Here is a 13,059-nt window from a genome sequence, read left to right on the forward strand (position 1 = left end):
CTATAGTCAGCAAAAACAATCAAGACCTTCTTCCCCTTTCAGAAATGAAAAAAAAAAAAGTCAGCGTAATCAAATTTCTAATGGTTTATCTTCTTTACACGGTATGTTGTCATTTTAAAGGGCTTACATTTTCTCTTCTGGATTTCTTTTCCCAAAAAGGCATGTGTTGGTGACATTCTAAACAGACCTACAATATTTAATAAGGAAAGTTGAATATCTTTTTAAATAAAAGCAGATGGGCAGTTTTGTTTATCTTCACTTGGCTCTATCACTGTTTCCTAAACATGAGGGTGGGATTTTTTTTTTTTTTTTTTTTTTTTTTAGTTTTCAATAATTAAAAGAATTAAAAATATTTATTTAAAAAATGCACACACATACACACACACCACCATTTCTCTTATTCTATTATTATTTTTTATTATACTTTAATAATGTGCACAACGTGCAGGTTTTTTACATATGTATACATGGGCCATGTTGGTATGCTGCACCCATTAACTTGTCATTTACATTAGGTATTTCTCCTAATGCTATCCTTCCCTGCTCCCCCAACCCCAAGACAGGCCCTGGTGTGTGATGTTCCCCACCCCGTGTCCAAGTGTTCTCATTGTTCAGTTCCCACCTATGAGTGAGAATATGCAGCGTTTTGTTTTCTGTCCTTGCGATAGTTTGCTCAGAATGATGGTTTCCAGCTTCATCCATGTCCCTAAAAAGGACATGAACTTATCCTTTTTTATGGCTGCATAGTATTCCATGGTGTATATATGCCACATTTTCTTAATCCAGTCTATCATTGATGGACATTTGGGTTGGTTCCAAGTCTTTGCTATTGTGAATAGTGCCGCAAGAAACATACCTGTGCATGGGTCTTCATAGCAGCTTGATTTATAATCCTTTGGGTATATACCCAGCAATGGGATTGCTGGGTCAAATGGGATTTCTAGTTCTAGATCTTTGAGGAATCACCACACTGTCTTCCACAATGGTTGAACTAGTTTACAGTCGTGGGTGGGATTTTTAATATCAAGTTTGTAATGGTGACTAGTAGGATTTACTGGATAAATACTTCTTTGACCATAAATTTTGTTTAACCTCTCCCTGATGTACAGTCCAAGCTAAATGTTGCTGGGTTTTGTTTTTTGTTTAACCATTGTTTTCTGTTAGTTTACTGTTAGTATGTCTCAGACATGGAGGTCAGGTGATTGAATACAAGAACCAAATAGAGTTTTTATTCTTGCCCTTAGATGATAGCCAGTGTTGAGACTTTGTTAAACCTCTTGTTTCACTTAGTTGAAAGTACTTTATACAAAAAAAGCAAGAGGAGCCAAATCTGTTGAGAAAGTAGAAAATATGACTTGGCTTCTAATGGTTCCCCTCAGCCCAAACAGTCACAGGCATCTCTCATTTTTGTTTCTACAAATGTTTATATAGGTAGCAACTATCAGTATCCTCTTGCTCATAGTAAGTTATTTGATGGTGCAGACTCTATCACCGTATCTTCAAAAGTGGCTGACTAGGGAATGCACACAGTATGAATCGTATTCTCTGATAATGTCTGTGGATATATTTGACTGATTTGCCTCTTAGATGATGAAGTCTGATGTCTCCATGGAAATTCCATTTGAGAGAGATTTAAAAATTAAACATCATGAATATTAAGCAGTGCTGCCTGGAAGTTCAGCTCCAAGTGACTTAATCACTTTGTCTGCAGTTTTCCTTAAAGAAGCCATTGTTTGAACTAGGAAGGCATTTGTTTTTCTAAATAGAAAAAATTAAAAGCTAAATATCAATACTGTGTGAAACAATCCCTTGACATGTTGAATTGTAATGTTCTTAAAAAAAATTCACCCTACCAAGGCCACCTTTAGAAAACAAGATTATTTCTTAGTGGCATCTCTCTGCTTTCAGGAACATTGCATTAGAGTTTCCAAAGAATGCATGGCCCATGCAGGTTGATTTGCATTAAGTCCATTTTGCTGGCCGGGCGCGGTGGCTCAAGCCTGTAATCCCAGCACTTTGGGAGGCCAAGACGGGCGGCTCACGAGGTCAGGAGATCAAGACCACCCTGGCTAACACGGTGAAACCCTGTCTCTACTAAAAATACAAAAAAAATTAGCCGGGCGTGGTGGCAGGCACCTGTAGTCCCAGCTACTCGGGAGGCTGAGGCAGGAGAATGGCATGAACTTGGGAGGCGGAGCGTGCAGTGAGCTGAGATTGTGCCACTGCACTCCAGCCTGGGCGACAGAGCGAGACTCCGTCTCAAAACAAAAAAAACGTCCATTTTGCTGTTCTTGGCGCTTTGTCAGAAAAGAGAATCATAGGTCATAAAAAATCCCATTCAAAATTAGGAAGACCATTCCAATAATTGGGATAAAAATAACAATGTAGTAGGGGCAAAGATACTAAGAAAAATTATCCCAAACTTGGAAATAAAGCAAAAAGATTACTGTGAGCCCCTTCAAAGTGATATTACTAACTATGCTAATTAGCCCACCTAAACAGATACAAAACAAACACCATAATAGACAATCTGAAAGGCTAGTGAAAAAAATATTTGGATTACTGAATATTTTCATACTTTGTAACACAAGTAAGACAGAAAAATCTCAAAGGCTAATGAAAAAATTATTTGGATTACTGAATATTCACACACTTTGTAAATATTAAGAGAGTAAGAGAGTCAAAACCAGGACCAGTACTAGAAGCTGTGAGTTGCCTATTTCATTAGCCAGACCACCTTTAATTGAGTTCCTTGTGGTAATTCAATAACTAGGCCACATTGGATCAAGTCCAAAGCCAGGAGGTCTTGTACCAATTTCTGCCCTATGGTAGATAGTGAGGCTTCCCACCTATAATCTAAGCATAGTATATCAGTTAGTTAGAATACAATTAACTAAAGACATCGCTAGCTAATAGTGAGGCTTCCCACCTATAATCTAAGCATAATATGTTAATTTAGCTAATGCAATTAACTAAAGACATCGCTAGCTAATAAACATGTAAAAGCAATAACATTACGTGTATTTAGCATTTTAGAGTTTGGAAGTAATTTCTCACAAGTCTTAGTACCCCAACTTTGGAAGGGAGGCACTATTACCTTCATTTTATAAATAAGGATGAAGATGCCTGGGGAGGTCAAGAATTACTTGGTCTATAAAGTTCAAAGCTGGGAATGGAACTCAAGTCTTTTGTGAGTTGTAAGCAAGGCTGTGTGGTCAAACACAGCTACAGTTTAGTTATGATTTCAACACTTACTGGTTGAGTAACCTTGGTAAGTCAGTTCACTTTTCTGAACTCAGTTTCTTCATCTTTAATAAAGGGAAAACACTATTACTAAGTCAGTGTTGATTTTTAAAAAGCATTAAAATAGATCATTCACTTAAAACACTTATCACATTGTCTGGCTCACAGTAAGCACTCAATAAATCTTAGCTGTATACGAAAAGAAAATGAAATGACAGTACAAAGTTGATTTCAAAAGATTCCCTCAACATATTCAAGGGGAGATACTGAAACTACTTAATGTAGTTCAATGCCCAATTCCCAAAAAGATAAATTATATTAAGAACGCAAGTGAAAATTAGTATGGTATATGATGTTACATAGAAATATACAGTTCATCATGTTTACTCTGATTAATAAGGCAGGAAGGTGAATGAACATATCAGAAAGCTTCTGAACAACAGCATTGGGGCAATAAACTTATTTCTAGTTAGTCTTCAGTTAGCCTGAAAATCAGTAGACATTTTGGTTTATATATGTTACATATGTTTCTACAGTTTTTTTTAAGAACAGGGGCTTAAAAATAATTAAAAGAGTGAAATTTCAAGATTATTTGAGAGCAACCAGGATTCCCTTTTCTGGAGCCTCTACTAGTAGTGATTCACAGTAACATTTACTTGACCTTCCAGTAAAGGCTTCAGTTTATTTAGGGAAATGAGAAAGACGGGAACATTAAAGAAATCATAGAGTCACAGAGGCTGCCAGGGTTGGCAAAATGATTCCAAACTCAGCAGCCTTGTGCCTTAAGCCCCTTTCAAAAAACAGGCTCCTGGCAAATCCAGGGCAGACCACCAAGCTATTTGCAGGCAAGTTTTACAGCGCAAAGCAGGCCAAACTTAACTGTTAGAACCATGATGCTCAAGTGGCATTGAAAAGGCGGTACTGAAAGGAGTCCTTAGGAGCTAGCAGTGATGGGCTTTTAATTTAGGGAAGGTAAGAATGCACTGATACAGCTGGAAACACAGTAGCAGTACATTTTCCTAAGATAAAATTCACCTATGTCACTTTCTGAGTAAGACATAACAGGGACCAGCAGAGGATTCTCAATTTTGTTTTCTTTTTAAATTATTTTTATTTTTTTTGAGACAGGGTCTTGCTCTGTCACCCAGGCTGGAGTGTAGTGGTGCAATCACAGGCTCACTGCAGCCCCAACTTCCTGGGCTCAAGCCATTCTCCCACCTCAGTCTCCCGAGTAGCTGGGACCACAGGTGTGTGCCACCATGCCTGGCTAATTTTTTTTTTTTTTTTCATTTTTCTTAGAGACAAGGTCTCACTATGTTGCCTAGCCTGATCTTGAACTTCTGGGCTCAAGCGATTCTCCTGCCTTGGCCTCTCAAAGTGCTGGGATTACATTCATAAGCCACCATGCTCAGCCTTTTTTATTTTTTAAAATCTTCATCATTTTATAAATAGTTCCTCAAAACAAATCAACAAAAATCCCTCTTGCATTGCCTTATTATAAAGACAATGTATTTCCTTCCTTTTTTTAAAAAAAAAAAAGTTTACATGAGCCTATTTCCTTAAAAAAGATCTTTTTGGGAACTTCATTGATAAGCAATGAAAACCCAGTGACCTATTTATCCTGGAATCTCATTACCAGAAGCCCTTTCCAGCCATTACTAATATTAATATTATTAAACGTCAACATTTCAGAACAGTTTATTCTGGGTTGTCTGCGATGGAGAAAGGGATGAGAACCATTTTCAAGGGCTTTTCTCGTGACATTTGCTCCTCTGCTCCCGGAGAGAACACGTCAGCTCCCTCCATCCACAGCTGCACATGCGTCTGCTCTGATTGCAGTACCCGGGGAATGCGTCCTCAGCCCTCAGAGGGACCACCAGTGTTATCTCAGACCTGGCAACGAGCCACCAGCGGGCAACAGTTTTTAAACAGATTGGTTCCTTCCTGGTCCTCACAGCAAAGAAAAATAAGGGTTGATTGAAGAAACTGTAGGAGAACAAAAGGTGTCAGGAAAAGGCCCCTAAACTTGGAAATCAGGCAGAAAGATTACTGTGAGCCTTTCAAAGTCATACTAACTATTCTAACAAGCCACATAAGGGTCATATGACTCTCTCAGGCTGCGCTGTTCTTTATGGTAGCCACTAGTCATTTGTGGCTCTTTAAACCTGAATTAATCAAAATTAAATAAAATTAATTTAGTTCCTCAGTCATTCTAGCCACACATCAAGGGCTCAATGCCTACATGAAGCTGGTGGCTATCACATTAGGAAGCACAGCTAGAGAACATTTCCGTCATTGCAGAAAGTTCTGTTGGACAGCTGCTCTAAAGGAAGGGAAGGTTCCCTTAAAATTGACTATTAATTACAGCTCAGACTCTGTAAAGTTAGACTTTAACTGGTTGAAGGCTGTTAATTGCAAATGACTTTTGTTCTCTAGAGATGTAAATCACTTTTATCCAGAAGGAAAGATAGCCCTACAGGTTACTCTTTTTCTTTTTCTTTTTTTGCCTTAAAGGAAATTAACCAATTTTGCATCTAAATTTGCAACCTTGTTCCAGGATTTTTAACTGACTAAATATATATCAGTTTTTTATATCTTCCTTTAAACCAGCTTTGTCATCATGCTGTGTCCTCTCTTCCTTGCTACTGAGTTAAAGAAATCCTTGACATGTGCTCACCATATATGTGAGAGGATCATGTTTCTAACTTTTTAAAAATTATACTCTGACAAAGGGATTGAACAGATGCACCTGGTAGGAATTTGATTTAAATAGGTTCTAAATTCAATATTGGGCAGATTGTTCTCTTGGCAAAATTTATATAAGTGCTTCTTGGCTTTTCCAACAACTCAGCAGTATGGCACAGAGATTGAGTCCAGACTTTGAAAAGCTGGGTCAAGGTCCACAGAGGCTACTGTCAGGATGATACACAAGAAAGTAGTAGAAACAAACTAAAAGAGAAAGAGTGGAGGGGGGTGGAAACTTTTCTTTCTCTTTTTTTTTTTTTTTTTTTTTTTTTTTTTTTTCCGAGATGGAGTTTCACTCTTGTTGCCCAGGCTGGAGCGCAATGGTGTGATCTCAGCTCACTGCAACCTCTGCCTCCCGGGTTCAAGTGATTCTCCAGCCTCAGCCTCCCAACTAGCTGGGATTACAGGCATGCGCCTTCATGGCTGGCTAATTTTGTATTTTTAGTAGAGACCGGGTTTCTCCATGTTGGTCAGGCTGGTCTGGAACTCCCGACCTCAGGTGATCTGCCCGCCTCGGCCTCCCAAAGTGCTGGGATTACAGGCGTGAGCCACCACGCCCTGCATCTATTTTGTATAATACTATATAGCTTCATTTTTTAAAGTAATGAGCCCACAGAAATACATAAAGTAAAAATAAAAGTTGCATATACAGAGAGGCAACTTAGTATTGTGACTAAGAAGATTTTGACAACACACATAACACGATTAAAGTCAACACTCTACCACTTACTAGCTGTGGGATCTTAAGTTATCTGATTTCTTTGAACCTCAGTTTCCTCATCTATAAAATAAAAATCATAACAACTAGATTATAGGGCAGTTGTGATGACGAAATTAGATAATGTCTGGCACATAGTAAGGACTGGATCAATACCAGTTATTCTTGTTATCACTTCAGGAAACCTAGAATTCCATAAAGTAATTCATTGAAAAGGCAACATCTAACATCTCCCATCTGATTTTGAAAATTCATAAGAATTTTGCATTCTCCTCCACGCTTTCATTTTAATTTGTACATAATTTCCTCCCAAATGCATCCAGTAAAGATGTGCCATATTTATATTGACTTTACCTATTCTTAAGCCCAGGGTATCATCAGAAGTACACATACCCTAGACAGGAAAGTATGGCATCCGTGATAGATGTTAGGTTATAGGTTCAATTTTTCTGAAATGAAACTTATTTTAGTTGACTTTGAAGAATCAAGAACATCAAATAAGATACAGAGAAACATATACATACCAGTACCAGTAACACCACCACCACCACCACTACCGAAACAATGACCAGACACTACCTAAAACTTAGCAGAATTTGCCATTTTGAAAAATTATTGCTGGTAAAGGGAAAGAGGAAAGAAAAAGAATTTCAAGAGAAAGTGAAAGAGGCTAGGATGGGGGCAGAGGAGTTGTTTTCTCTGCCTTCTAGAATACATAATTTAAAGCAATTTGACTGTTAGTATATAGAAGATCCCAGAGAAGGGAAGTTCATAAGCAAATGCCTCTCCAAAGAACCCAAAGCAGCCCTGAGAGATTCTCTAGGAGAATCCCTCTCCCAGGCCCAGCCCCCAAGGGGCATATAACCAAGGTTCTGCTGCTTTGCCGATGGTAGTGTGGAGATACCATTATGTGTGCCTGTAGATTTCTCAAGAAGTTAGGATAGGAGGAGAAACCAGCAAATAGTAAATCTTTTAGTCCCATATACTTGTCACTGACTCCCATTACTCAGAAGGAAGTCCAAGCTCAACAGGTCTGACGAGTCCCACCTGGATTCTGGCATTCAAATGTCATAAGTGCTCTACCTTGTTCTCTCTGGACTCTGGCATTCAAATGATGTCATAAGTGCTCTCCATCTTTTCAGCAGACCCTCCTCCTGGCAGGGAATGCTTGCATTGGACATAGTTAGCTACCACACAGAAAGAGCTCACCCTCTACCTGTGTCTATGCAGCCATATCCATCCAGCACAGGACACTGATTGGCTCATCTTGAAACGCACCCCTAACAATGAGCCAATCACCACAGTCATGGGAATCAAATACTTTCATTGGCTAGTCTGGGTCACATGACCACCCCTGGGGCCAATAGTTGAAATCAAGCACATCTGAACCAAAGGAACTGACCATGATTTCCACAGTATGAAGGAGGAATTGTGCCCCTAAAAGATGCCGGGCAGTCTTGGTTCCGAAGAGAATGGAAAAAACTATTATGTATGAATGTACATAACAGCATTAGTCACAATAGCCAAAAGGTAAAACAATGCAAATGTCCATCAATTGATGAATTATGGCATATTTATACAATGGAATATTGTTCAACCATTAAAAGGAATGAAGTACTGAATCTATAACATGCTTGAACCTTGAAAACATTATGCTATATGAAAGTAGCCAGTCACAAGAGGCTACGTATTCTTTGTCCACTTATATGAAATGTTAGACTAGGCTAATGCATAGAAACAGGAAATAGTGATTGCGAGGGGCTTGGAGGAGAGGGAATGAAGAGTAATGGTTAATGGGTATGGAGCTGCTTTTTGGGATGATGAAAACGTTCTAGAATTCAATAGTGGTGACAGTTGCACAATTCGGTGAATATTCTAAAAACCACTGAACCTGTATTTAAAAGGGTAAATTTTAGGGCATGTGAATTATATCTTATCTCAATAAAGCAAAAATACCATTGCTCCAACACTAATGTCTTCACCAGGTGAAGTGGTGGGGCTGAATAGTGCTGGCATTACCACTAGATGGAATGAGAGCTAATGGTAAATTCGTAGCAAGTATTAAGTGAAAGAATTTTTGCTAAAATAGTCCTCTCGTTCACATTTACCCAGTCCCCTTAAAGGATCCTTTAGTATTACTTTTATTTTATTAGTCTCCATACTATATTACTCAAAAGAGTATTACCATATTACTGAAGAGTCCTTCCCTTGGACATAAACAGTCTTTGGCTGTCAGTGCCCTTTAAATGGTTTCTGCTCCCTGTAGCCCATTATTTTAAGAAACTTGTTCAGCCTCTACTTCCTGAGATTCTTCCCATACATTGCTTAGCATACTGCGTGGGAACATGGCAGGCACTCAGTAACTGTTAACTCCCAGTGCTATTATTACTGATCCAACTCTGGGGTCATCATAAAGAGGCCAATTCCTAGTATTGCTTAGGCTTCTTGGAAAAAAGCCAGTTGAGTGTTTTTTTGGATCCCGGCAGTCAACAGGATGCATCACTACCCCGTAAGTTCGTTGAAGCAGTCATTTTTTAATGAATGGAGGTAAGGGTGTGGCTTAGGAAACACACAGGAGGTAGCGAGGCACCCAGAGACTGACAAACCTAAGCAGTCATGAGCATCCCTTGGGCTGAAGATAGGGGAGGAAGTATTGTTTCAGAATTTGAGGAAGGAAGGCAGAAATCCTCCAACTTGTCTCTCCCACCTTCTCATTTCCTTGTCAGGGTTGTTTTCTAGCTGAACTCAACTTGAAGCTAGCTGGCCAAGGAGAGCGTGAGATGCAGTCTACAGGTGTCAGCCTCCCAGGGCAAGAGATAGGTGAACCATTACTCTAGAGAGAGAGAGAGAGAATAACTATGTTTTAAAAACCTGGAGTCAAATATATGGTTAATTACCCATTCACTCCTGGTGGTTGAAATTCTCTTTAAATAGGAGGCCTGTCATGGTTCTGAGTTCTGGCAACCTCCTTCCCTTCATTAGTAAATGCTGCCATTAAAACAACAACCTAAGCAAGTTGGAGAATAGGCAAAGGCAACTTGAGCTACTTAATTTCAAAACTCCAGCTTTTTGAACAGCACTAAAGTCTGTTTCTCATAGAAGGCAAATTAGTTAATTTCAAATGTGGTCTGTGAATATCAACAGACCACCCAAATGTTTACATATTTTATACCGTCCTTCTAGTGGGTTTCAAAAAAATAATTTAAAACCCAGCTAGTTTGAGAGAAAAAGGGGGCACTCATGCATATAAATTGTCTGCATTAAGGGCCAGTTCCATATTAAAACAACATTAATTATTCATTTAGTGAAGGAGAAAAATTTACCTATCATAGAAAAACCCCTAGGGTGATATTGTTTTCCACAACCTGCTTGCAAGCCCAGTAACATCCCAAATGCCCCTCTAATTCAACCTCTCCCTGGAAATGAGAAAAGGCTGTGGAAAGAAAAACAACTGAGCACTTTATTGCTACATCGTGTCTTAGAGGTTGATGTATTCAAGTTCTCTCAAACCCGGAGGTCAGATCCAGAATTCCAGAGCTGAAGGACTGTGCATGGAAAAAAAAAAAAAAAATCCCTTGCCTCTGGCTCTTTAATAAAGTCAAAACTTTAGGGAAAGTCAGCAGGGTCTGTTTCAGGGCTGGGATTTCGGGTCCTGGCAGAAAAGGACCCCCTGAGGAGGTGTCTAACACCTGGCTGAGTTTCCAAGTCCCCTCTTCCCCACTCCCCAGTGACTTTCTGGAAACAGAACAATCGTTGTCCAAACTCAACTCACAGTAGTCCACCAAGAGAAAAGTCTATTGCCAACTGGAATGCTTTAGATTTTCAACAGCAGATTGAGGGCATGTCCTAGGGACCCGAGGAAGAAGAGTTTGCAAAGAATACATTTTTATTTGCTAGAAAACAACCACCTTGTTCACTGAATCATAACAAAGTCAGGGATCTGAATTTTTCTACCCTACTGAAAAAAAACTGCCTTTGCCACTCCCTTCAAAATACTGTGGAATCATAGCAGTGGCCTTAAGGGATGTTCATTGTTGTTCTGGTTTTGATGAACTGGAAAGTTTGATGTGGAGCCTATTTTCAGAAATCTTATGTGTAAACTTGACATTGCTAAGGGTGCAGGGTTGTTAAAATTTTGAGAATAGCAGCTACCTACCGGGAGTCACCAAAGAAGCCTTGGGGAGGTCCAGCAACCTACAAAGACCCTCCCTGTCACCTGTTGGCATGGACTGAATCTCAGCCTTTAGAGGTTATTTATTTGGATCTTTCAACTTTGTTTTTTAAGAAACTCATACTCTAATGCAACCACCACTAAGAAAGCACACTTTTGGAACTGCTGGATCCTTGGCAGTTTGGGGAAAGGTGGTAGAGGGCAGTAGAGTGTTGACATGGCTTGAAAAGAGGGTATGGAAAGAGTGCTAAAAATACTTTTACCTACTTTATAATTTTTGTGAAGATTTATCACTGTAGCCCTAATTTCTTTCAAAAGAGAGAGGCTTAAGGTTAGAAGATCCCACTTATAATTGTGTAGCCTTTGTCAAGTCTCTTAAAGTTCCTAAGCCTCAGTTTCACCATCAGTAAAATGGGGCAATAATACATTATTAATTTTGTGAGGATTACATGAGATAATTTATAGGAAGTTACTAACATGGTACTTAGGACATGGTAGGTGTTCAGTAAATGTAATATGGTGGTGATGATGATGATTCCATCTGCTCCCTACAAATAGATAAACAAGGAAGAACATTTAAATGTGTACAGAAAAGGGGAAAAATAAGGAAGAAGCAGATGGCTGGAACATTTCAATGGCAGCTGGCTCTCTGTTTCACTACTTCTGTCCCTTGCTGGGAATAGGGAGGCTTAATAAAGGAACCCTCATTGCTTTCTGTACAGCTGATTGGATTTGGAGGAGAGAGGGAAACACAGGGGAAACCATAAATAGATGCAGCTGTCTGAGTCCTCAGGTCTGTCCTTGGGAGAATATTTATTTAGCTCCAAGGAAACAGTTTTATTTGGCAAAGTATGATTTTAAAATTTCTTGCATCTGAATGCTAACATTTCCTCTCTCCAACTAACTGCTTAGTAACTTTAATAATGTGGCCCTATAGATAGCCTTTTCTGTAGCTACTAGTCTATCTAAAATTTAACTTGCTTGATATGGGCCTATCTCAGACTACATTGCATCATGTAGTGATGAGATGGGGTAGAAGTAGGAAAGAGAGTGGAAAACAGAACAAAAATACTATTAATAGATTTAAGGTCAAATTGAGCATGTGGGTTTAACGATAATCCTAACTTTCTCATCAGCAGGGTTTGCAATGGAAGGAAACTTGTGTGGATAAGTGTTTAGTCCTCATAAAGAAGATTCAAAAGCCATTCCACTATTTTTAAGTAATGGAAATAATTTCACAAGCACAGAGCTGTGAAAATTTTAAAAAATGTATTCTTAACTATTACTATTTTTCTATGTTTATCTAATGGCTTGATTTTTCTGGTGGCATGCTTAGCATCTTTAAAGAGAAAACTTGTTTCATTAAGTTAGTAATGTATGTTTCTGATGGACATGTGTGCGACCATCTAGGGAGAAAGGAAGGAAAGAGGAGAAACTGGTGTAGAACTGAGCTCTGAGGTTCACCAAACTGCCATCTCTGCAGTTACCAATGGGGCACTAGGGTTTTCTAGATTTTCTGCCATTTTCATTTAGTCAATTTCTAGCTGTAGGAACACACCTGTCTTTCAAGCTCAATGCAGCACTTTGTCAATTGGCCCCTAATGCAACACTCTGGGGCCACCACGTCTCAAAGATGGTCTGAAATGGGCTGTAGGACTTCAACTCCAAGGTGTGATACTGGGCCATGGACTGCCTCATATCTGTCTACCTGTGAATGTTGTCTCAAGATCTACTTTACAGGTTCCTCTCCACCCAAATCTAAATGAAGGTATCCTTGGTTCCTCTTACTCTTAGCATTTTGCCAGACAGGTTAGAAATCCTTTTAGGCTTATCTAGGATTCCAACGTACATGGATCTTCAGGGCTACCAATGGCCACATGCGTATCTCCTGGGAATGGAAATTCCTATAAACCCTCTGTATACAAACACTAGTAACTTTCTGGCCAACAACCCCACTTGGTTAGCTGCTATTAATGTTAGTGTTACTCTCCATCCTTCCTCCCAATTCTGGTAATAAGTACAAAACCAGGTAAAATATCTTCTTAGAAGTTTGAGGTTGCTTTTAGATAGGGAGACTAATTTACTTCTATTGTCTCAGCATTATTTCTTTTTAACATTTACATTTTTTTTGTACCTAATAGGTGTACATATTTGGGGGATACATGTGATATTTTGTACATTC

At 39.1% G+C, this 13,059-nt stretch overlaps 2 long non-coding RNA genes across 4 annotated transcripts in view; one reads left to right on the plus strand and one right to left on the minus strand.

Annotated features, from left to right (window-relative positions):
- ADAMTS9-AS2 (ADAMTS9 antisense RNA 2) overlaps window positions 1-13,059 on the plus strand; it is a 326,599-nt gene that overhangs the window by 200,239 nt on the left and 113,301 nt on the right. The gene's annotated exons all lie outside the window — the stretch shown is intronic.
- LOC105377124 (uncharacterized) overlaps window positions 1-13,059 on the minus strand; it is a 99,923-nt gene that overhangs the window by 8,783 nt on the left and 78,081 nt on the right. The window contains exons 3-4 of one of the 3 annotated variants that reach the window (XR_001740437.2): window positions 9,414-9,539; window positions 5,148-5,229 (exon numbers count right to left, since the gene is read on the minus strand). The exons of 1 other annotated variant lie outside the window; for it this stretch is intronic. This is a non-coding gene — a long non-coding RNA (uncharacterized LOC105377124). Of the gene's footprint in view, window positions 1-5,147; window positions 5,230-9,413; window positions 9,540-13,059 lie in introns of those variants that run through there. One more of the 3 variants, XR_007095946.1, reaches the window with a different exon arrangement.

This window comes from Homo sapiens, chromosome 3 (assembly GCF_000001405.40).
Source record: "Homo sapiens chromosome 3, GRCh38.p14 Primary Assembly".
NCBI classification, from domain to species: domain Eukaryota; kingdom Metazoa; phylum Chordata; class Mammalia; order Primates; family Hominidae; genus Homo; species Homo sapiens.